Source organism: Homo sapiens, chromosome 8, assembly GCF_000001405.40.
Source record: "Homo sapiens chromosome 8, GRCh38.p14 Primary Assembly".
Taxonomy (NCBI): Eukaryota; Metazoa; Chordata; class Mammalia; order Primates; family Hominidae; genus Homo; species Homo sapiens.
In genome coordinates this window covers 42,259,652-42,284,345 of record NC_000008.11, presented here as the reverse complement: position 1 = coordinate 42,284,345, position 24,694 = coordinate 42,259,652, and the positions used below count along the sequence as shown (strand labels likewise).

The 24,694-nt window shown below is 48.4% G+C and overlaps 1 protein-coding gene and 1 long non-coding RNA gene across 19 annotated transcripts in view, besides 4 other annotated features; one reads left to right on the top strand and one right to left on the bottom strand.

The window, feature by feature from the left end:
* IKBKB (inhibitor of nuclear factor kappa B kinase subunit beta) overlaps positions 1 to 13,044 on the bottom strand; it is a 61,159-nt gene extending 48,115 nt beyond the window's left edge. For 5 of the 15 annotated variants that reach the window (NR_033818.2, NR_033819.2, NR_040009.2 and 2 more), the window contains exons 1-2: positions 12,877 to 13,044; positions 12,141 to 12,263 (exon numbers count right to left, since the gene is read on the bottom strand). Coding sequence is in view for 11 of the 15 variants with exons in the window: in NM_001556.3 (NP_001547.1) it covers positions 12,141 to 12,245 (105 nt within the window). In the remaining 4 variants the exon portion in view is untranslated. Of the gene's footprint in view, positions 1 to 12,140; positions 12,264 to 12,612; positions 12,789 to 12,876 lie in introns of those variants that run through there. The other 10 variants (XM_011544517.3, XM_047421758.1, XM_047421764.1 and 7 more) reach the window with 6 other exon arrangements.
* Positions 12,764 to 13,053: a silencer, noted in NCBI's record as "silent region_19154". NCBI's record gives its function as "represses an Ori minimal core promoter by ATAC-STARR-seq in GM12878 lymphoblastoid cells {active_cell/tissue: GM12878}" and the evidence as "EXISTENCE:reporter gene assay evidence [ECO:0000049][PMID:35858748]".
* Positions 13,096 to 24,694, top strand: part of IKBKB-DT (IKBKB divergent transcript) — a 37,577-nt gene continuing 25,978 nt past the window's right edge. For 2 of the 4 annotated variants that reach the window (NR_185845.2, NR_185843.2), the window contains exons 1-3: positions 13,096 to 13,695; positions 17,950 to 18,731; positions 20,874 to 21,017. This is a non-coding gene — a long non-coding RNA (IKBKB divergent transcript). The remainder of the gene's footprint in view (positions 13,696 to 17,949; positions 18,732 to 20,873; positions 21,018 to 24,694) is intronic. The other 2 variants (NR_185844.2, NR_125823.3) reach the window with 2 other exon arrangements.
* Positions 13,550 to 14,049: an enhancer, noted in NCBI's record as "H3K4me1 hESC enhancer chr8:42127815-42128314 (GRCh37/hg19 assembly coordinates)". NCBI's record gives its function as "activates a minimal SCP1, AML or CMV promoter by ChIP-STARR-seq in naive H9 embryonic stem cells {active_cell/tissue: H9 hESC(naive)}" and the evidence as "EXISTENCE:reporter gene assay evidence [ECO:0000049][PMID:30033119]".
* Positions 18,147 to 18,196: an enhancer, noted in NCBI's record as "active region_27304". NCBI's record gives its function as "activates an Ori minimal core promoter by ATAC-STARR-seq in GM12878 lymphoblastoid cells {active_cell/tissue: GM12878}" and the evidence as "EXISTENCE:reporter gene assay evidence [ECO:0000049][PMID:35858748]".
* Positions 18,207 to 18,436: an enhancer, noted in NCBI's record as "active region_27303". NCBI's record gives its function as "activates an Ori minimal core promoter by ATAC-STARR-seq in GM12878 lymphoblastoid cells {active_cell/tissue: GM12878}" and the evidence as "EXISTENCE:reporter gene assay evidence [ECO:0000049][PMID:35858748]".

Genomic DNA, 24,694 nt, shown 5'->3' with positions numbered 1-24,694 from the left:
CTCCCAAAGTGCTGGGATTACAGGTGTGAGCCACTGCGCCAGGACATCACCTCAGTATTAAGGGGCAATTCGGCCACAATGGCTCTGCATCCCAGGTGGGACTGATGGTTATAAAAGGACAAGTTTGGTCCCTTTTGTCTCTTGCCCTTTCGCCTTCACCCTATGATGATGCCTTGACCTTGGACTTCATAGCCTCTAGGACTATGAGAAATAAAATCATTATAAATTACCCATTCTCAGCTACTCTGTGATAGCAGCACTGAGCCGACTGAGACACTGCTACAGACACTTGCCTCCAGTTAGGCGGAGTTTGCAGAGGAGCTCAGACGTGGGGAACGCAGGGTTCCACAAACAGAGACCGATGGCCCCGCTGCAGCGTGAGGTGCCATTGCCAAGAGCATCTATCCACCTCCATCCACCCTGCAACATTTCCATGGACACTATTCCAAGCAATGGTTTAGCCAAAGAGACTGTAACTTATGGTTCGTTACCTTAGAATGACTGAGACTAAACCAAGATACTGAAAAATCTGCAGCAACGTAACTTCAATACACAGAAGAGGGCACTTGTTTTCTATTGCTGCCGTAATAAATTACCACAAACTTGGTGGCTTAAAATAACACACTTTATTTCCTTGCAGTTCTATCTGCTGAAGCCTGATGTGGGTCTCCCTGAGCTAAGATGTTGGTGGGGCTATGCTCCATCCAGAGGCTCTAGGGGAGAGTCTGTTTCCCTACTTTTCCTTCTGCATCTTCTAGAAGCGCCACTTTCTTCAGCTCGTAGCCCCTTAGCCCATCCGTGTGTCAGCCATGTCCCGCCATCTTCCTCACATGCATCGGCTGACCCTGGCTCTGCTGCCTCCTTCTCCCACGTTTAAGAACCCTTGGGATTACACTGGGACCCCCAGGGAAGCCAGGCCAATCTCTAAGGTCAGCTGATTAGAAAACTTAATTTCATCTGCAACCTTAATTTCCCTTTGCCATGCTGCCCCACCCAGTCATAGGTTCAGGGATTAGGATCCAGATTTCTTGGTGGGGTTGGGGGGGATTATTCTACCTATCATAAATGAAACAGGACAGATCATCAGATCCAAAAAATAGATTAGATGACTTAGTTTATTAAGTGATTTTAGGTAATCTGTCTAGCTACAAATTGGATAATTGCAGTCTTTTGCCCAACACAAACACTGGACCTGATACACAGCTGTCACTTGGCCCAACCCAGAATCAGGAGGAGATTCTGATACTGAAGACTTGATATTGGTCTTAAATATCCAAATGCAAACTAAAAAGACTGAACTCAGCAATGTGAACACTGAACAAGTCTTGAAATAACTGGGCATAGATACCAAAACTAACTTTCTACTCACAGACAGCTCAGCTTCGCCCTAGAGTTGAGGCGAAATCCTAACTCCCTGGGCCTAGGAAGGTCTGCGTAGATACAGACATACTTAAACTTTTCCTAACACAGTGGCCTTCATCTGCCTCTAGGAAGTATTCCGAAATATTCCCAGTTTTTCCATGAGTAATGTTTCATTTGAAACAGAAATGCAAACAGAATGACTTTGTTACTAAAAACATACCTGCTCTAGAAAGCAAAATTCAATTAAAACAGAAGCAGGCTACGATCACCGGTTCTGAAACCCCAGGGAGTTTGTTCTTCACTAGCAGTGGAACTCAAACACATGTAAGGTAAGAAGGATGGCTTACTTTATTTTTCCTGGAATCTACTGAGTCTTAGCTTAGTTCTGTGGAAACCCAGACTAGGCCTGCGCCATCTCAGTACCCAACTTCTGGTATATGAACTCCTCGTGAAGGACAAAACTTAAAACTGCTTTGTGGCTGGGCATGGTGGCTCACACCTATAATCCCAGCACTTTGGGAGACCAAGGCAGGTAGATCGCTAGAGCCCGGGGGTTTGAGACCAGCCTGGGCAATATGGCAAGACTCTGTCTCTACTAAAAATATTTTTAAAAACTAGCCAGGCATAGTAGTAGATGCCTGTAGTCCCAGCTACTTGGGAGGCTGAGGTGGGAGAATCTCCTGACCCTCGGAAGTCAAGGCTGGGCAATAGAGCGAGACCTGCGTTGAGCTGTGATCATGCTGCTGCACTCCAGCGTGGACTACTGGAGTGAGACCCTGTCTCAAAAAATAAACACACACAAAACAACAAAAAACTGGTCTGTATTTTGAGAAAACGGAGAAAGGGTCCCCTGTATGTCCAGATTGAATGTAGTGATTATGAAGGTCCTCAGAGTTTGCAATTCCTTGCCTTTGATGCATGTAAACATAAAACTTATATATAAGCATGTGTGTCATAAGGTGTAAAAAAGGCAGAGGGGGAGCACATCCTCAGACCAAAAGGTGCCTGGCAGATGCGAGCTGAAGACCCAGTCACAGGAGAAACAAAAGGGGCCCAGCTTCCTCAAGTTTGCCTCTTCCAGCGACTCAGGGGAAACTCACAGAGGCCAAGAGCCATGTTTAGACCCTTAGCGCAGAAAGCCCAGTGTCCCGTTATCATGGCAAGCATCCAACCAGGCCACTGTGGACATGGGGGCAATTAGTAAAAACCTCCTCCTCCTTCTCAGACCCCACCCCCTGAAATGAATGCTTCAGAAAGGAGGTGCAGGGCTGGGACCAGAGAGACTGGGCAGGAGGACCCAGGGCTGGGAGCCAAAAAGGTCCGGGATCCAGCTGCAGTTTCACCCCTGGCTCAGCAGGTAACTGGACAGACCCTGGGCCCCAGCATCGCCTGGTCTACGCTAAGAGGGCCATGACTTCTTCACCCTACTCCCTACAGTGCAGACCCCCAAGGGGCACAGTGGCCTGCCGCCTCACCCACAGAAGCCAGGCACTCGGGCTCAGGAGACAAGCAGGTCCAGGTGTAACTCCCTCCCCCACCGCCTGGTAAAGGTGCGATAGAAGCCCATGGTACAAGCATCTGGGTCCTCATCCATAAGATGGGGATGGCTCCATCCACTCCAGGGATGTCAGCTAAAATGAAACACAGCATCCGACCACAGGGAGCCGGGAATAAACGACCGCAGCCTCACTTCCTTTTCTGGCCCTGTGGAGATGCTGCTCTGCCCACCTGAGTCGGCTTCTGTCTTCTTGCCAGGCCCTCGAAAGTGTACCTCCTTTCCAGATCCTGCTAAAGCTCCATTCACCCCAAGAAGCCTCCCTTCCCCAGCGTTCGGGAGAGATCATGCGGACAGGGAACCCAGCTCAGATGCCACATGATGCCCTGGAAAAATGGCAGCCACTGTTATCCATGCAGTTCGGTGCTTGGATTTAGACTCACTTAATGCATTTCTGAATGCTCCCTGGATCACTGTGATCAGAGAGTAAGCACACGAAGGGCAGGGACCCTTTTTTCCTGGTATCCCTGACAGAGCTCGGGCCCAGGCTCTATAAATCCCTAGAGAAGTGACTGAACGGAGCAGAGGCTTTAAGGCTTCCAAGCACACAGATAAGCTGTGGAAAGCTTTGCCTTGTCCCATAAAGGGACAAGTACAGGTCCGTGCTGCTTCATAGAAGGGATCGTTAATACTCTGCCTTCTAACAGCCAGTACACACACTGCCTCCTCCACCCCAACGAGCATCCCGCAGGGCCCCAGGCAGCGCTTCCTGGCCCTCCTCACAGCCAAGTGTACACAGAACATGATGATATCACAAGGTACCCTGGGTGGCTTCCAGAAGGTAGCTGACCCACATCCTGCCCAGCCATGTTGGGGACCCAGCACTGAGGAGATCAGTATTGGAGAATCCCCATAATCCATGCAAAAAGTGGGGACCCACAGCCAAGACGCTGACAGAGCCAGGATCTGAACCCAGGTCTGTGTGACTGAGTATCGTGTTTCCCGCCCCCACTCCCAAAACATGCTGCCAGGTGGGAGCACTCGGTTATCTCCTCCTCCTCTTCCTTTGTATTTAACAAAGGTCTCATTGAAAATATCAGCCTATCTAAACGGTACTGGGAAGTGGTTTGTGCTGACCCCTGGGCTGGAGGTCTTAGGGAGTCCCGACACAATGTGGAATGGTGAGGCCCGCGTGGCAGGAGAACCACAAGAACAGGGGAAGCAGGTTGTGGTGGGGCTCGCTTGTTCACTGCCCTCCCTCCCTGGGAAACACTCAATGTGGGGTTCTCTGTCTAACAAGGAAGACTTATAAGTGTTTTGTCCTCCAAAGAAGTGTTTTTCAACCAAGCACAGTGGCTCATGCCTGAAATCCCAGCACTTTGGGAGGCCAAGGCAGGAGGACTGCTTGAGCCCAGGAGTTCCAGACCAGCCTGGGCAACATAGAAAGACCTCATCTCTACAAAAATAAAAAAATTAGCCAGGCGTGGTGTCTCACGCCTGTAGTCCCAGCTACTCAGGAGGCTGAAGTGGGAGGACTCCTTGAGCCTGGGAGTTCAAGGCTACAGTGAGCCCTGATCGAGCCACTGCACTCCAGTCTGGGTGACAGAGGGAGACCCTGTCTCAAAAAACAAACAACAAAAAATCAATAAAGAAGTGTTTTCCCCTTCCTGCTTCAAAAAGGTTTAGACTGTGGTGAACAATGAGAGCCTAAGGAACACCAAGGCCTCCCCCTGAGTCCTCACCACAGAGAAGCCACAGGCACAATGGAAAAAGCATGAGGTTGGGTTCCGAACAGACGCAGGTTCCAATCCTAGCCTCTTTGCTTGCGAGCTCAGGTCTGTGGGTGAGTCACAGAGACTGTGCTTCAGTCTCCTCAACTATAAAATGGGAACAAAGACAACAGTACTTCCTTTCAGAGTTGTGAGGGCTGGAGAGAAAGCACGTAAATACCTAGTTTGATGCTGGCGCATAGCAGGTTCTCAGTAAATGATGCCTCTGATTATCAGGCCACTTCTCTGACTGAGGATACCCATGCTTAGGGGCTTTTTCATGTAACTTCTATTGTGATAACTACAACATTCCTTCTTCTGCAGACAAGATGCAGTGCATGGAGTGTCAGGAAAGTGCACACTGTTGTTACGTGGAGTAAAACCATCAGAGTCAAGGAACCAACACCACCATAGCCCAGCTGCTTCTTTTAAGAGGCTGTGAACAGAGGGGTTCCCAACAGAGAACATACACGCTCATCTTCTGAACTTGGACAATGATCAAAGACTTCTCCTCAGCACCCAAAGCAGCCCTAGAGATTTCCCAAACTTGGGGAGAACCCACGGGGAAGGAAGGTAGAGAGCTTCCTGGCCTGGGCCGGGCTCACGGGTAGGCATCATTGAGGACCTGCAGGCACTCCACTCCTCCTGCTCCCCTCCACCTCTACTCCACCACTAAGCGCTGTTAATTCCACCCCTTAAATCTCTCTCTCTCTTTTTTTTTTTCTCAGACAGAGTTTCGCTCTTGTTGCCCAGGCTGGAGTGCAGTAGCACGATCTCGACTCACTGCAACCTCCACCTCCTGGGTTCAAGTAATTCTCCTGCCTCAGCCTCCTGAGTAGTTGGTATTACAGGCATGCGCCACCATGCCTGGCTAATTTTGTATTTTTAGTAGAGACGGGGTTTCTCCACGTTGGTCAGGCTGGTCTCGAACTCCCAACCTCAGGTGATCCACCTGCCTCTGCTCCCAAAGTGCTGGGATTACAGGCATGAGCCACTGCACCAGGCTAAATATCTCTTAAGTCTGCCCACCTCTCCCCATCTCTCACCTAGACGACTCCAAAACATTCAGACCTGGTCTGCCTGCATCACTGGGACGGAGCCAGTGACACTGTAGTAGCAGTCACTGAGAGCTGGTTGTTAACTACTCAGGAATCAGGCCGGAGCGGGCTATTAAACTACTGGTGGCTTGAAGTCAGCCCTGGTGGGAGTAGCTACTCCATGAGAACTGCTGCACACTATGGATCAAGGCATTTCTTCCGAGAGCTGATTTTTTCCCAGCACGCTGCCCACTGCTTGGGCCCTCCCAATCTGTCCCCATGGGCACAGCGCCTCCCTCTAACATCGTTCCACTGCTCCTCCATCAAAACAAAACCTCCTCGGCTGAAACTGCCCAAAAAACACCACAGGATCTGACTTGCACCGTCCACCCTCAGCCACCCAGGCACTTGTGCCCCATCCTCCCTTCCGGCCACGCTGGCCTTCAGTCTTGCCCACTTGCCACACCTGCCCTCCACAGAGGCCCCTCAGGAGCCTCTCCCTTGGCCTGGAACTCTCCTCCCACCTTCTCTGTCAAGCTGACTTCTACTAGGGCCTCAGTTCAAGTGTCACTTCCTTGGGGAACCTCCTCTGACACTGACTGATCCCACCCCAACGGAAGGTCTCAGTGCACTGGGTCCTTCTCCCAACTCACACTTTACCATACTTAGGAGCTTACATTTATAATTAGTTGACTAATGGCTCCTTCCCTTCTCCAAAGGTCTGCTTTAATTACCAATGTACACATAATAGACATTCGATAAATATTTGTGGACTGGCAGAGTGGATGATTTGGGGCACCTAGCACATATACAACGTCAGGCACTTGCTACAGGAGAACTGAAGGAACTCCAAAGGCCAGACCCAGCCCTGGCTGACCAGGAATGCAGGGTCCTGACAAGACTTACTCCACACGCAGACAGGAAGGGCGGCACAGGAACCAGCCCAGAGGAACTCACCGGGAGAACCAGTTGCCACAGAACAAAGCCATCCCAGACGCATATGAGGAGGAGATGGCCTAGAGTTGGTCCTGGAGGAATGTGGAGGAGGGGGAGGCCTGTCCGGCAAGAGGGCTCAGCGCTCAAAACAGAGGCAGCCAAGGGGAGGAATGATGGAGAGGCAGGTGCAGACAGACTGTGTGGGGTTCAGCCGGCAGGAGGAGGAAGCTGGCTTTTGGCTTTTTAAAAATAAATAACAGGCCAGGCGCCTGTTAGTGACTCATGCCTGTAATCCCAACACTTTGGGAGGCCAAGGTGGGCAGATCACTTGAGGTCAAGAGCTTGAGAACAGCCTGGCCAGCATGGTGAAACCCCGTGTCTACTAAAAATATAAAAACTAGCCAGGCATGGTGGCAGGTGCCTGTAATCCCAGCTACTTGGGAAGCTGAGACAGGAGAATCGCTTGAACACAGGAGGCAGAGGTTGCAGTGAGCCGAGATCAAGCCACTGCACTCCAGCCTGGGCAACAGAGCGTGACTCCGTTGCAAAAAAAAAAAAAAAAAAAATTAGCCACACGTGGCCGGGTGCGGTGGCTCACGCCTGTAATCCCAGCACTTTGGGAGGCCGAGCAGGCGGATCACAAGGTCAGGAGATTGAGACCGTCCTGGCTAACACAGTGAAACCCCATCTCTACTAAAAATACAAAAAAAAAATTAGTCGGGGGTGGTGGCAGGCGCCAGCAGTCCCAGCTACTTGGGAGGCTGAGGCAGGAGAATGGCATGAACCCGGGAGGCGGAGCTTGCAGTGACCCGAGATCACACCACTGCACTCCAGCTTGGGCGACAGAGCGAGACCCCGTCTCAAAAAAAAAAAAAAAAAAAAAAAATTAGCCGGGTGTGATGGCGCTGCCTGTAATCCCAGCTACTCAGGAGGCTGAGGCAGGAGAATCGCTTGAACCCAGGAGATAGAGGCTGCAGTGACCCGAGATCGCACCTGTCTCAGCTGAGAGTGAGACTGTCTCAAAAAAAAAAAAACAAGAAAACATACGGGAAGTGCTTCAGGGCATTGGTCTGGGAAAAGATTTTATGGATAAGACCTCAAAAGTACAGTTAACAGAGGCAAAAGTAGACAAATGAGATTACATCAAACTAAAAAGCTTCTGCACAGCAAAAGAAAAAACAGAATAAACCTATGGAACCTATGGAGACAACTTATGGAATGGGAGAAATTATTTGCAAACTATCCATCCAACAAGGGATTAATATCAAGAATATGCAAGGAACTCAAACAATTCAACAGCAAAAAAATAAATAATCCAATTTTTCAAATGGGCAAATGATTTGAACAGGAATTTCTCAGACATACAGATGGCCAACAAGTATATGATAAAATGTTCAATATCACTAATCATCAGACAAATGCAAATCAAAACCACAATGAGATATCATCTCACCACAGTTAAAATGGCTATTATCAGAAAGACAAAAAGTAACAAATGAAGGCAAGGATGTGGAGAAAGCGGAACTCTATACACTATTGGTGGGAATGTAAATTAGCACAGCCATTATGGAAAATAGTATGGAGGTTCCTTGAGAAACTACAAACAAGGCTAGCGCAGTGGCTCACACCTGTAATTTCAGCAGGTTGGGAGGCTGAGGCAGGCGGATCACCTGAGGTCAGGAATTCGAGACCATCCTGACCAACATGGTAAAACCCCGTCTCTGCTGAAAACATAAAAATTAGCCGGGTATGGTGGCATGTACCTGTAATCCCAGCTACTTGGAGGCTGAAGCAGGAGAACTGCTTGATCCCGGGAGGCGGAGGTTGCAGTGAGCTGAGATCATGCCACTGCACTCCAGCCTGGTTGACAGAGCAAGACTCCGTCTCAAAAAAAAAAGAAAAACTATAAATAGAACTACCATATGATCCAGCAATCCCACTACTGGGTATCTATCCAAAGGAAAGGAAATCAGTTTATCAAAGAGATATGGGCACCCTCACGTTTACTGCAGCACTATTCACAATAGCCAAAATATGTAATCAACCTAAATGTCCATCAATGAACAAATGAACAAAGAAAATGTGGTACACAGACACAATGTACTCTTATTCAGCCATAAAAAAGAATGAAATCCTGCCATCTGTGGCAACATGGATGAGCTTGGAGGGCATTACATTAAGGGAATTAAGCCAGGCCCAGGGAGATAAATACCACATGTTCTCACTCATCCGTGGGAGCTAATAAAAAACTGATCTCAGTTGGGTAAAGTCTGTTGGCTGACACCTGTAATCCCAGCACTTTGAGAGGCTGAGGTGGGAGGATCACTTGTGTCCAGGAATTCGAGACCAGCCTGGGCAACAGACAGACCTCCTATCTACAAAAAATCAAAAATTAGCCGGGCATGGCAACGCACACCTGTAGTCCCAGCTACTCAGGAGGCCGAGGCAGAAGGATCATTTGAGCCCAGGAGGTCAAGGCTACAGTGAGCCATGATGGCACCACTGCACTCAGCCTGGATGACAGATTGAGACCCTATCTCCAAAGAAATTAAAAATTAAAAAAAAAAAAATGCCAGGCACAGTGGCTCATGCCTGTAATCCCAGTACTTTGGGAGGCCGAGGCAGGCAGATCGCCTGAAGTCAGGAGTTTGAGACCAGACTGGCCAACATGGTAAAACCCTGTCTCTACTAAAAATACAAAAATTAGCCAGGCGTGGTGGTGCACGGCTATAATCCCAGCTACTTGGGAGGCTGAGGCTGGAGAATCGCTTGAACCTGGGAGACACCAGTTGCAGCGAGCCAAGATTGTGCCACTGCACTCCAGCTTGGGCAACAGAGCAAGAATCCATCTCAAAAAACAAAACAAACAAACAAAAAAAAACTGATCTCGTCCAGGCTCGGTAGTTCCCACCTGTAATCCCAGCACTTTGGGAGGCTGGGATGGCGGGGGGGGGGGGGGGCGCGCCGGCGGGGATCACCTAAGTTCAGGAGTTCGAGACCAGCCTGGCCAACATGGTGAAACCCCGTCTCTATTAAAAATACAAAAATTAGCCAGGTGTGGTGGCAGGCACCTGTAATCTCAGCAACTCGGGAGGCTGGGGCAGGAGAATCACTTGAACCTGGGAGGCAGAGGTTGCAGTGAGCCAAGATCGCGCCACTGCACTCCAGCCTGGGCGACAAGAGCAAAACTCCGTCTCAAAACAACAACAACAACAACAACAAACTAATCTCGCAGAAGTAGAAAGTAGAATAGTGGTCACCAGAGGCAGGAAAGGGTGGTGGGGGTGGGGGGAGTTGTGGAGGGAAATAGGGAGAGACTGGTTAATGGGTACAAAATTACGGTTAGGTGGAATAAGTTACAGTATTCTAAAGAACAACAGGGTGACTACAGTGAATAAAACTTTATTGTATATTTCAGGCCGGACGTAGTGGCTCACGCTTGTAATCCAAGCACTTTGGGTGGCTGAGGTGGGCAGATCACCTGAGGTCAGGAGTTTGAGACCGGCATGGCCTACATGGTGAAACCCCATTTCTACTAAAAATACAAAAATTAGCTGGCATGGTGGTGCACACCTGTAATTCCAGGTACTCAGGAGGCTGAGGCAGGAGAATCACTTGAACTCAAGAGGCGGAGGTTGCAGTGAGCCAAGATCACACCACTGCACTCCAGCCTGGGCAACAGTGCGAGACTCTGTCTCCGGAAAAAAAAAAATATTGTATATTTCAAAATAGCCAGAAGAAAGAATTTTGACTGTTTCCAACAAAAAGGATACGTGTTTCAAGTGATGAACACGCCAATTACCCCGATTTGATCATTACACATTATGTATCAAAATATCACACTGTACCCCATAAATATGTACAATTATTATGTGTCAATTAAAAATAAAAACAGGCCAGGTTCAATGACTCATGGCTGTAATCCCAGCACTTTGAGAGGCCAAGGCAGGAAGATCACTTGAGGCCAAGAGTTCTAGACGAGCCTGGACAACATTGTGAGACCACCATCACTACAAAAAATAAAAAAAAAACCTCAGCTGAGGCCAGGTCCCATGGCTCAGGCCTGTAATCCAAACATTTTGGGAGGCAAAGACGGGAAGACTGCTTGAGGATGAGAGTTTGAGACAAGCCTGGGCAACATAGCAAGACCCCATCTCTACAAAATTTAAAAAAATGTTAATTATTTGAAATATGGATTTTCATCATCATTCTAAATGAATTCTCACTTTCATGTGGATCTGCTTATTTTTTGCCGTGCAGTATCGCAAGCAATACTGGGAAGACATCATAATTAGCAAATATTTTAAATATATATATATATATATATTTTTTGAGACAGGGTCTCATTCTGTCACCCAGGCTGGAATGCAGTGACACTATCTCGGCTCACTGCAACCTCTGCCTCCTGGGTTCAAGCGATTCTCCTGCCTCAGCCTCCTGAGTAGCTGAAGTTACAGGCATGCACCACCACACCAGCTAATTTTGTATTTTTAGTAGAGATGAGGTTTCACCATGTTGGCCAGGCTGGTCTCAAACTCCTGACCTCAAGTGATCCTCCTGCCTCGGCCTCCCAAAGTGCTGGGATTACAGGTGTAAGCCACTGCACCCGACATTTAAAATAATTTTTAAAAAATGGTTTTGAAACAAGGTCTCACTCTGTCACCTAGGCTAGAGTGCAGTGGCACAATCATAGCTCACTACAGCCTCAAACTCCTGGACAAGCAATCCTCCCACATCAGCCTCCAATGTAGTGGGACTACAGGTACGCACCAAGGCTGCCTAAGGTTTTTTTTTTTTTTTTTTTTTTGAGACGGAGTCTCACTCTGTTACCCAGGCTGGAGTGCAGTAGCGCAATCTTGGCTCACTGCAACCTCCGCCTCATGGGTTCAAGCGATTCTCCTGCCTCAGCCTCCCAAGTAGCTGGGGACTACAGGCACGTGCCACCAAGCCTGGCTAATTCTTTGTATTTTTAGTAGAGATGGGGTTTCACAGTGTTAGCCAGGATGGTCTCCATCTCCTGACTGCGTGATCCGCCTGCCTCAGCCTCCCAAAGTGCTGAGATTACAGGTATAAGCCACCACGCCCAGCTGGCTGCCTAATTTTTAAACCTTTTTTGTAGAGACGAGGTCTTGCTATGTTGCCCAGGCTGCTCTTGAACTACTGGCCTCAAGGAATTAAAATATTTTAAATTATTTATTTAGTCTCATCCTTTAAATTTTCCTATTTCTATATGTTTTATAACATATAATATCAGTATATATTAGTACATGATATTCTACTGTTACCATATATATATAATAGAGACTAAGAGCTTAACTTTATTTTACTATTTATTTAGGTGACATAGTCAATAAAGCATGGAGACCACTAACCTGGAGTCAGCTCAGAAGTCCTGAAGCCCTCTTCCCAGTCCCCCTATTCACTGTCCCAAGATGACCAAAGCCAAAGGTGAGCCCTTGGCCCAGCAGGATCAGAGAAAGTGGAGGCAGTGAGGAGGGGGCCTGGCTCCCCGCCCCTCCCCAAGCTGCACAGAGGGCCTACCTGATTGTGCCATCGGATGACATTTCCAAATCCCCCTGTCCCAAGGCGCTCTTTCATTTCCCAGGCCCCACATGTCTGCGTTGTCAGGGAAGGTGACCAGCTCATACTGATGTCGTGCTAACTCTATAAGCAATTTGGGATGGGGAAAAAAGGTTAGGATTAAGAAAAAAATGGAGCTCAAAGGGATGGAGAAGGCAAGAGATACCACTGCTCTTGAATGGGAGAGAAGAAAAATACAACTGGTTTTTTATTTTGTAAAGAAACCAATGTGTTTGGTTGGTCCAAACTTTGTGGCAAACTTTTGTCCCTCTCACCCTCCCCCATCCGGTTGCTGTGGCATCAGGCAAGGAAGAAAGTCACCGAGGGAGGCGATGCCCACGCCCTTGCCCTAGCGAGGGGATCCCCAGCTGACTCCACCAGGGGCGCCCGGGCCTGCCCGCCTTCTGCCCGAGGTGGCAGGGGCAGAACCTACTTCTGAGCATCGCCGAGGTCACGTGTTTCTTTACAATGTTCCCATAAATCGCAGGTTCCCCTCAAAGCCACCCACCCCCAAGAAGCCACCCCAGGGAGAGCTGTTTCTCCCGGCTTCCCGAACTCCAACCCGCACAAGTGAAACGCTCCCCAGTCCGCAAGCTGCGACTTCCCAGCGGCACAGAGGGGTCTTCCGGGCCTTGCAGGCAGCGGGGCGGCGGGGCCTGCAGGTGGCACCCGGGCCGCACCCACGAGGGGGACTCACCTGTCGGCAGGGACGCGGGGCAGGGGGCGGGCTCCCCGGGGCGGGGAAGGCGGGGCTGGGGCGGCCAAACCCGGGGCTATGACACCCCCCTGAAAACATTAAAATGCGGGAATCTTAACGCGGGCAGCGCGGCGCGACTTCCTCAAACACTTCCTGCTCTGACGTCACGGAGCACGTTGGCCGCGGCCGCTCTTAAAGAGGCCGCTCCCGGCGCGAGGCAGACCAGGTCCGGATGCTGCGAGTGCTGCGCCTGTCCCGGGACCCTCGACCGGGCGACTCCCCCGGGGCGGGGGTGGCGTGTGGTCTCTAGACAACTGAGGGAAAGTAGACAGACCGTGCTCACCGATTTAAAAGAACAGCCCTGAAATGACCCCCGTTACACCCTGTTCTCTTTAGACAAGTTACTTCCACCTGGAGCGGTTTCTGGGCCCGGGTATGGGGATTTCTTCACCCGGCCCCCTAGGCTTTCACCTCGGTGGAATTTCCCGCGCCCCCGCTGGGATGATTTAGGGACTGTTGGCTAGAACTGCCCTTGCCTACCGCCCTACTGCGGGCGCTCCCCTGTCTGGGGGGTGCTTGGCTGGGTGTGGAGAAGGATCAATCACAGCTGACTCCTCAGAGGTGACAGCCCCTGCCCCCTTAAAAACAAGAAAAGACCTAGCAGTGTGAAGCCAAACTGCACCCCCAGCCCCGGTGACATGAGGAAACCGTGAGGCGCTCAGCCTGAGGTTCATCGTTCATCTCCTTCCTGCTTGGAATCAGAATGTCCTCACTGCTGAGTTTCTCCGTTTTATGGGATTACATTAGTGGACAAAGGAGGTGTGTGTGTGTGTTGCTATATTTTATTCAAGCAGAAAAAAACTACCAAAGGAACCTGAAGATGATAATAATAGCTCACATCTATAGAGTGCTTACACAGTGCAGGGCTCTGTTCTAAATCTCTGTACTTAGATTTCCTTATTCAATCCTCAGGGCAACCCTGTAAATTGGAAAATACTGCATCATCATCATCATTATTATTATTATCTCGCTCTGTCACCCAGGCTGGAGTGCAGTGGTGTGATCACAGCTCAGTGCAACCTCCAACTCCTGGGCTCAAGTGATTCTCCTGACTACAGGTGCGCGGCCGCCATACCTGGTGGCGGGGTCTCACTCACTGTGTTGCCCAGGCTGGTCTCCAACTCCTGGGCTCAAGGGATCCACCCGCCTGGGCTTCCCAAAGTGTTGAGATTACAGGCTGTGAGCCACTGCACCTGGTCTGCATTATTATTATTTCCAAGGTACATGGCTGCTACGTAGATGAGCTGATACTCAAACCCTAGCAACTGGTTCCCGGGTTCTTAATCCGTGGCTAAAAGTAGCATGTTAAGAAGTTCAGAAGGAGGCAAACTGGATTTTGAATCCAGATACTGCTGTTGACTACCTCTGAGGCACGGGGGCTGGTTACTTAAACACTGTGAGAACCTATTTCCTCTTTTAAAATTTAGGCAATATTAGGTTGAATTGCATTTAATTGTCATTTTTTGGAAATTGAAAACAGCCAAAACATCAGTAACAAAGATCAGCAGTTTCATCTGCTTCATTGTAATAGCAGGGGGACAGGCGGGCTCATAGAAAGTCATAGAAAGGAGGCCACCCCAGAGTTGTTGTGAGGGACAAATGAGGTATTGATAGCAGCAGTGCCTGACAGCCCTGGGGTTGAAGTTAACTCAGGGACAGATCTCAACCCAAACATAGGGGTCAATGGTGTCCAGGGCTGTGCTAGGCACGCTGGCTGCTCGGTTTCTCCCCTCTCCCCTCTTCCCTCTCCTTTCTCTTTTTCTTTCTCTCTCTCTCTCTTTTCCTTCCTTCCTTCCCCCTCCCCTCTCCTCCCCTCCCCTCCACTCCCCTCCCCTTCCCTTCCCTTCCCGGCTACTTGGTTTCTTTCTTTTCCTTCTTTTCCTTCCTTCCTATCTCTCCTCCTTCCTTCCTTCTTTCCTTCTTTCCTTTCCTTTTCCTCCCCTCCCCTCCCCTCCCCTCCCCTCCCCTCGCTTCCCCTCCCCTTCCCTTCCCAGCTGCTAGCTTTCTTTTTTTTCTTTCCTTTCTTTCTTCCTTTCCTTTCCTTTCTTCCTTTCCTTTCCTTTTCTTTCCTTTTCTTTCTTTTTTCTTTCTTGACAGGGCCTTTCTCTATCGCCCACTTTGGAGTATAGTGGCAGGATCACGGCTCACTGCAGTCTTGACCTCCTGGGTTCAAGGGGTCCTCCCGCCTCAGCCTCCCCACTAGCTGAGATTACAGGCACGTGCCACCATGACCAGCTAATTTTTAAATTTTATTTTGTTGACATGGGGGTCTCACTATGTTGCTCAGACTTGGCTTGAACTCCTGGCCTCAAAGCAATCCTCCCGCCTTGGCCTCCCTAAGTGCTGGGATTACAGGTGTGAGCCACCGCTTCTGGCCTGGTATTTCTTGATTACTCCCAGCTAAATGGCAAGCTCAGCCTCAAGGCCAGAAGCAACAGGAACATGAGTAAATAGTTGTAACACACGTAGAATAGTGACTGCATTGTCTAAGTGCAATATAAGTGTTTGCTTAATAAGTAAATTTTTTAAATAAAATATTTATTGGCCAGGTGAGGTGGCTCATGCCTGTAATCCCAGCACTTTGGGAGGCCAAGGTAGGCAGATCACTTGAGGTCAGGAATTTGAGACCAGCCTGGCCAACATGGTGAAACCACGTCTCTACGAAAAATACAAAAATTAGCTGGGCGTGGTGGCAGGTGCCTATAATCCCAGCTACTTGGGAGGCTGAGGCAGGAGAATCACTTGAACCCAGGAGCTGGAGGTTGCAGTGAGTGGAGATCGCACCAGTGCACTACAACGTGGGCGACAGAGCGAGACTCCATCTCAAAAAAAAAAATTTGGCCGGGTGTGGTGGCTCACCCCTGTAATCTCAGCACTTTGGAAGGCCGAGGCAGGCAGATCACTTGAGGTCAGGAGTTCAAGACTAGCCTGGCCAACATAGTGAAACCCCGTCTCTACTAAAAATACAAAAATTAGGCCAGGCACAGTGGCTTACACCTGTAATGCCAGCACTTTGGGAGGCCAAGGCGGGCAGATCACGAGGTCAGGAGATCAAGACCATCCTGGCCAATATGGTGAAACGCCATCTCTACTAAAAATACAAAAAAATTAGCTGGGCGTGGTGGCACGTGCCTGTAATCCAAGCTACTCGGGAGGCTGAGGCAGGAGAATCGCTTGAACCCAGGAGGCAGAGGTTGCAGTGAGCCGAGATCGTGCCATTGCACTCCAGCCTGGGCGACAAGAGCAAAACTCCATCTAAAAAAAAAAAAAAAAAAAAAAATTATTGAGCACCTATATGTGCTGGGCACTGTGGAGAGTCCATTTCCAGTACAATGTCATAAAAGGTTTCTCTTTAATCCTGTCATCTCTGAAAAACACTGTCCTGAGAAACTTACCAAGATGTCCGCTAATATGCCAAAAGTTTACTCTGCGCTCCTGTAATTTGAATCCTCATTTTGCTCAGCTCAAAATAACTTGGCTTTCAACTGAACATAAATCTCTCTGATAAGGTCACGTATTACTAGGCTTTTTTTTTCTTCAATTAATCATGGACCAGGAAGGGGCCTCTGGGTTTTATCATATTCCAAGATATTTATTATCTTAAGCTCAATTTTCTATCCAGATAAGACATGTTTAGCTATCTCTGCCTGCATCTGGTTTCTGTCCTGCTCTGGAGATATGAGCAGACTGTTTACAAAAGATATTTTCAGATTCAGCAGAAAAATGTCCCCTTTTCTTCCTGCTTTGAGGCTGAGTGTGCTTTTTAGCTGTGCTATAGGGAAATCAAGAAATACTGACCAGCCAGAGTGCCTAGCTCAGCCCAGGGCATTACTGACCCAGGGGATCCAAGCAATGGAATGAGATCTCATCAGAGGCACTTAGAATCTTACTGGGTTTTTAAGACCCACAGGGAGCCATGAAGTAAGGACAGACAAAGGCCAGGCAATATAAAATCACACACGGATTTGTTCTGCAGTAATTAGTACCACAGTACAGTACCGTTATAGGAAAGGGGTCCCGATCCAGACCCCAAGAGAGGGTTCTTGGATCTCGCGCAAGAAAGAATTCAGGGCGAGTCAGTAAAGTGAAAGCAAGTTTATTAAGAAAGTAGGGGCCAGGCATGGTGGCTCACTCCTGTAATCCCAGCACTTTGGGAGGCAGGTGGATCACGAGGTCAGGAGATGGAGACCATCCTGGCTAACACGGTGAAACCCCGTCTCTACTAAAAATACAAAAAATTAGCCAGGCATGGTGGCGGGCGCCTGTAGTCCCAGCTACTCAGGAGGCTGAGGCAGGAGAATGGTGTGAACCCAGGAGGTGGATGGATCTTGCAGTGAGCCAAGATCGCGCCAGTGTACTCCAACCTGGGCGACAGAGCGAGACTCCACCTCAAAAAAAAAAAAAACAAAAAAAAAACAAACAAAAAAAGAAGGTAAAGGAATAACAGAACGGCTACTCCTTAGACAGAGCAGCCCCCGAGGGCTACTGGTTGCCCATTTTTATGTTTATTTATTTATGCTAAACAAGGGGTGGGTTATTCATGCCTCCCTTTTTTAGACCAAATAGGGTAACTTCCTGATGTTGCCATGGCATTTGTAAACTGTCATGGTGCTGGTGGGAGTATAACAGTGAGGACGACCAGATGTCACTCTCGTGGCCATCTTGGTTTTGGTGGGTTAGAGCCGGCTTCTTTACCGAAACCTGTTTTATCTGCAGGGTCTTTATGACCTATATCTTGTGCAGACCTCCTGTCTCGTTCTGTGACTTAGAATGCCTTAACCATCTGGGAATGCAGCCCAGTAGGTCTCAGCCTCATTTTACCCAGCTCCTATTCAAGATGGAGTTGCTCTGGTTCAAATGCTTCTGGCAGTACTAGTGATAAGGATAAGGTTTCTGAGCACTGTTAAATTTAAAATGAAATCTTGTTCACAGAGTAAGTCAAAGATAACTGTCTTCTTACTCAGTCTTTTATGTCATCCACTGATTAAATTCTGCTCTCTCACCTGATGGCAGTGAAGCAAAGCAGCACTGAGCTCCTCCAAGTAAAGAAAGAATTGTTTTCTGTACAACCTGGAGCTGAATCATAGAAGGAGAAGACAGCTTGAAAGATAAGAGGCCGTAAGGCAGACCACAGAGGATGGGGAGGATTTCCCCAGCACCCCAGCCCCCATAGTCAGCTCTGGTTCAGCGATTTCAGCAACTCTTTCATGACCCATCTGATTTTGTTTTATCCCAGCCCTGCAGAGAAAGGACTCTGCAGGTCAGGACTTGCTTCTTCAACAGACAAAAACTCCTCTGCCAGAAAAGTTGGAGAAACTAGTTTAGAAAGTCGGAGGATGTGAAGAAGTCTGCCTTTGTTCTGGGGACCTTGGTGGGAGATGAGGGTGGGCTGGTGGAGACGAGGGTGAGAATGAACCTTGCCGCAGACCCTTTGGGCTCCATGCAGAGCTGGCTGCAGAAGAGGAAGGAAAGGAAATTGGCCAGCTGCTGTCTCTGTGACTGGACCTGGGCCAATCAAGAAACTGAGAGGAGCAGGGCCAGCCGGCTGTTGTGCCTCAAACTTAGGCAGAAACAAGCAAAGGCAAGGATTTGGGGCTCTGAGTCACCCTCTCTGGAGGAACAAGAGCTTAGAGGAGGAAATCACTTTTTAAGCTCCCTTTACTTTTACACACACGTTTTTATTCCAGTAAATTCAAACTAAAGAGGAAGAAGTCATGAAAGGGCAGCTGCCACCTCAGGCCATGGTGGCGGAGACAAAGGCTATGGGCCGGTGTAGACGTCTAAGAAACCAACAGGTATGCTTTTCGGCTTACCTTGGTTCTGAGCTCCTACTTTTGACCCATGGGCTGTGTTGCAGCTCAGCTGCCGGACTCTAGTCCTTCCTGGGCTCAGGCCTCTCTCTGCACTTCCCCTTGTCAGTGGTGCCTGGCCCTCCTACCTGCCTGTCCCAACTTTTCCTTTCTGCAGGAGTCTGCTGGTGACTATCTGGGAGGCCAGATCACAGTAGGAGACCAGAATATGCCACCCAAAATAGGCCTCTTTGGCATACAGATTATTCTGAGAAACAGCAACCGAAGAAGCAACTCCGAAAGCAGAATAAAAATGACCCTTTTGCCCGGGTGTGGTGGTGTGCACCTGTAGTCCCATCTATCCCAGAGGCTGAAGCAAGAGGATCACTTGAGTCTAGGAGTTCACAATCAGCGTGGGAAACATAACAAGAACCTATCTTTACTTAGAAAATAAAATGGGCTGGGCACGATGGCTCACGCCTGTAATCCCAACACTTTGGGAGGCCGAGTGGGGTGGATCACCTGAGGTCAGGGGTTTGAGACCAGCCTGACCAACATGGTGAAACCCCATCTCTACTAAAAGTACAAAAATTAGCTGGGCGTGGTGGCAAGCACCTGTAATCCCAGTTACTCGGGAGACTGAGGCGGGAGAATCACTTTAACCCAGGAGGCAGAGGTTGCAGTAAACAGAGATGGCGCCATTGCACTCCAGCCTGGGTGACAAGAGTAAAACTCCATCTCAAAAAAAAAAAAAATGTTTAAGGCCCGGCATGGTGGCTCACACCTGTAATCCCAGCACTTTGGGAGGCTGAGACAGGTGGATCACCTGAGGCCAGGAGTTCAAGACCAGCCTGACCAACATGGTGAAGCCCTGTCTCTACTAAAAATACAAAAATTAGCTGGGCATGATGGTGGGCACCTGTAATCCCAGCTACTTGGGAGGCTGAGACAGGAGAGTTGCTTGAACTAGGGAGGCGGAGGCTGCAATGAGCTGAGATCGTGCTACTGCACTCCAGCCTGGGAGACAGAGTGAAACTCAAAAAGTTAAATTAAGTTAAATTAAATAATATTTTAAAAGCTACCCTTTTGTAAGGGAAATTTACATCTATAAAAACCATCTCTCTGCTGTTTTCTGTTAGCCTCAGCAACAACAAAAAACATCTCTTGCCAGGCGTAGTGGGTCATGCCTATAATCCCAGGACATTGGGAAGCCCAGGCAGGAGGATTGCTTGAGCCCAGGAGTTTGAGACCAGCCTGGGCAATATAGGGAGACCCCATCTCTACAAAAAAATCAAAATATTAGCTGGGTGTGGTGTCGTGCCTGTAGTCCCAGCTACTGGGGAGGCTGAGGTAGGAGGGTCACTTGAAATCAGGAGTTCGAGACCAGCAAGACCTTGTCTCTAATTAATTTTTAAAAATATAATTTTATAATTAATTATAAAAAATAAAATTAATTTTAAAATAAAATATAATTATCTATGTATACTTAAATACCAAAAAAAAAAGCCCAGCTGGGCGTAGTGGCTCACACCTGTAATCCCAGCGCTTTGGGAGACCAAGGCAGGTGGATCACCTGAGGTCAGGAGTTCGAAACCAGCCTGGCCAACATGGTGAAACCCCATCTCTACTAAAAATACAAAAATTATCCAGGCATAGTGGTGGGCGCCTGTAATCCAAGCTCCTCAGGAGGCTGAGGCAGGAGAATTGCTTGAACCCAGGAGGCAGAGGTTGCAGTGAGCCAAAATCGTGCCATTGCACTCCGGCCTGGGCAACAGGAATGAAACTCCATCTCAAAAAACAAACAAAAAAACGCGTCTCCATTTGTAAGGGTTTCTTTGTCCCTATACCAGGAAAAGAAGTGTGGCTCTAATGCACCAGAAACTCTAATCATTAGAGAAGACACCAACATAAATCTGCACTACAAACCTTAGCTTTACTTACCAAGCTTTTTCTGGACACCACCCCATAACTGTCCACCCCAACACCGTTCTTGTTTTGTTTCAACTGGAGATGGTATTTAAGCCCGAATTCTAAGCCACCCCTCTAGATTTTACTCATTTCTCTGGGTATCTCCTATGTATACCTGAAATATACATGTTGTTAAACTTCCTTTTGTCTTTCTCTTCTTAATCTGCCATTTTGTTATAGGAAGTCCCAGCCGGAAACACAGAAAGGATATGGAGAAAATTATTATTCTGCCCCTACAGTTTCGGTGACCCAGATGGGATCTCTGGGACACCCTGCCTGCTCTACAATTGGGATCCCTGGAAAAGTGACAGAATCTGGCAACAGGTAAGAATGTGGTGTCGGCCGGGTGTGGTGGCTCACACCTGTAATCCCAGCACTTTGGGAGGCCAAGGCAGGTGGATCACTTTAGCCCAGGAGTTTGGGACCAGCCTGGGCAAGATGGCAAGACCCTGTCTCTACTAAAAATACAAAAAATTAGCCAGGCATAGTGACTCACACCTGTAATCCCAGCACTTTGGGAGGACAAGGTAGGTGCATCACTTGAGCCCAGGAGTTTGAGACCACCCTGGGCAAGATGACAAGACCCTGTCTCTACTAAAAATACAAAAAATTAGCAGGGCGTAGTGGCTCATGCCTGTAATCTCAGCACTTTGGGAGGCCAAGGCTGGTGGATCACTTGAGCCCAGGAGTTTGAGATCAGCCTGGCCAACACAGCAAGACCCTGTCTCTACTAAAAATACAAAAAATTTAGCCAGGCATGGTGGTGTTCGCCTGTAGTCCCAGCTACTCAGGAGGCTGAGGCAGGAGGATCACTAGAGCCCAGAAAATTGAGGATGCAGTGAGCCGTGATTACGCCACTGCACTCCAGCCTGGGCAATGAGCATGAGACCCTGTCTCAAAAAAATAAAAAAATAGGCCAGGCATGGTGGCTCATGCCTGTAATCCCAGCACTTTGGGAGGCCGAGGCGGGCGGATCACGAGGTCAGGAGATCGAGACCATCCTGGCTAACACGGTGAAACCCCATCCCTACTAAAAATAAAAAAAATTAGCCTGGTGTGGTGGCGGGTGCCTGTAGTCCCAGCTACTCAGGAGGCTGAGGCAGGAGAATGGCGTGAACCCAGGAGGCGGAGCTTGCAGTGAGCCAAGATTGCGCCGTTGTACTCCAGCCTGGGCCACAGAGTGAGACTCTGTCTTAAATAAATAAATAAATAAATAAATAAATAAAAGAATGTGGTAGTTAGCTCTCCTGGATCTGTGTGATGTCAGTCAGGGGAGGAAGGTACAAGTTTCTCTTTTGTGCCTTCTATTTCTTTTCTTTTCTTTTTTTTTTTAAATAAAGTGGTCATCTTTTATTTATTTTTTTTTTATTATTATACTTTAAGTTTTAGGGTACATGTGCACATTGTGCAGGTTAGTTACATACGTATACATGTGCCATGCTGGTGCGCTGCACCCACTAACTTGTCATCTAGCATTAGATATATCTCCCAATGCTATCCCTCCCCCCTCCCACCTTCTATTTCAAATTCACATTAGCAGGAGAAATCATTTGTAAGAATTAATTTTTTTGGACAGTGACTCTGGTGAAATGTGGTTTGGGGTAACCATTGGTTATTGATCCTTTCACTCCCAGGGACAGCTATTGCTTTCCTGTTTGTCTCCTTTTGTGTCCTAAAAATGTAGCATGACTATCCGCCTGCTGAGGCGCCCAGATTATCCAGGCTGCCTGTGCAGGCAACCAACTGCCAGGTCGGGGACACCCCAGAATACGGCCAGCCAACCACCAGGTCAGGGACACCCAGGAATATAACCAGACAGAAAGAGAAGTGTGGGCTGCATCCCATCTGTGACCAGTGTCTGTCAACCTACAATCATCAAAACGGTCAGAATCTAGTTCAAAGAGAGGTCATCAGCACAAAGTTGAGGACTGCAGCCCGGGACACACTTCCAAGTTGCCTTGGGGACTGCTCCAGACAACAAAAGAGAGGCTCAAGTTTTGAAAGGAAAAAATAAAAAATCAGGAGAAGGAGAATTACAAAAGTTGTTTGTCAGGAATTCACATTGGTTTACAGAAATAACCTCGGTTATTTTTATGAATAACATTGGTGATTGGCTGTGCATTCTTGAACTACAGGGTGTATGGCATTTTATGGCTACTTGGTGACAGTTAATCTAGAGCCCCCATAGTGAGTGGCTGCTAGAGGTAATTATTTCACTCAAGGGGGAGAGGGACATGACTGGTGTTACATTTTAAATGCCTTTCTGGGTCTCATAATTTAAAGGGGCTTGCATTCCTCAAAAGAAATATATTTCTTGGAAGGGGAGGTGAATAGGGTCTCACTGTCACCCAGGCTGGAGTGCAGTTGCGTGATCATGGCTCACTGCAGCCTCGACCTCCTCAGGCTTAAGCAATCCTCCCATCTCAGCCTCCTGAGTAACTGGGACTACAGGTGTACACCAGCACATCCAGCTAATATTTGTATTTTTTTGTAGAGGTGGGGTCTCACCATGTTGCCCAGGCTGGTCTCAAACCCCTGAGCTCAAATGATCTACCTGCCCCAGCCTCCCAAAGTGCTGGGATTACAGATGTAGGCCATAACAGCTAGCCAGATGAAATGATTTTTCTTTTTCTCATATCCTACCAACCACTGCCAGCTCTTGGGGTGTTTTCTAAGACTTTCTTCCCTTGGCTGTCTATGGGAGTGGCTCCCATAGTCTATGGAAAGGGCTGTATCTTTGCACCCTGTTTGGAGAGGCATCTCATTTCTGTGGCAAAGCCATAAAAGGCTCATTGGTTTTAAGTCCTAAGAGGTTTATGGCTTTGGTCTTCAGTCATTTGCTAAGTATACATTTTCTGTAAAAGAAAAAGGAAAAAAACTATTCAAATAGGAGTTCAATATTGCCAAGAATACTTAGTGTTTGTCCCAGGAGAATTTGATAATAGGATATTTGAAAGGATTTTTTTTTTTTTTTTTTTTTTTTTGAGACAGAGTCTTGCTCTGTCACCCAGGCTGGAGTGCAGTGGTGCATCTCGGCTCACTGCAACCTCTGCGCCCCAGAGTCAAGCGATTCCCCTGCCTCAGCCTCCCAAGTAGCTGGGATTACAGACACGTGCCACCAAGCTAGGCTAATTTTTGTATTTTAAGTAGGGTTTAAAACGGAGTTTCACCATGTTGGTCAGGCTGGTCTCAAACTCCTGACCTCCTGATCTGCCCGCCTCAGCCTCCCAAAGTGCTGGGATTATAGGCATGAGCCACTGCGCCCGGCCTTGAAAGGCTTTTTTTTAAAGGAGCTCTATGGTCAGAAGTTGGCCTGACTAGAAGCCAATATTCAGACCCTAGTAGGAGTTACTGTTTTAAGTCCTCTCTGTTCTGTCAAGCTGATCCTGCAGCTCCTATGGGAATGTCTCCATCGCTTGAAACTCCCTTCCTGAAGCCCCACTGTCTATGTGCTCAACCAACTCTGTCACTTCCCTATGGTTGGCACAGTTTTTCTGAGGATAATATGGGACTTTACTGGCTTCTTTGGGGAACTTGAGATCTCCCGACTCTGGCTCCCCTACAACCTCTTCCTTCCCGTTGCTCCTGTTTCTCCTTCCTTCTCTCATCTTCTCTCCACTTCTCTCTCTCTCTCTCTTTTCTCTCTCTTTTTTTTTTGTTTTTTTTTTTTTGAGACGGAGTCTTACTCTGTTGCCCAGGCTGGAGTGCAGTGGCACAATCTCAGCTCACTGCAACCTCCGCCTCTGGGGTTCAAGCAATTCTCCTGCCTCAGCCTCCCGAGTAGCTGAAATTACAGACTCCTGCCACTATGCCTGGCTAATTTTTTGTATTTTCGAAGAGACAGGGTTTTGCCATGTTGTTCAGGCTGGTCTTGAGCTCCTGAGCTCAGGCAATCCACCCACCTTGGCCTCCCAAAGCACTAGGATTACAGGTGTGAGCCACTGAGCCTGGCCAATTAAACTCGTACTTTATTGCAATGCCATGCTCTTCATTTGTGCAGC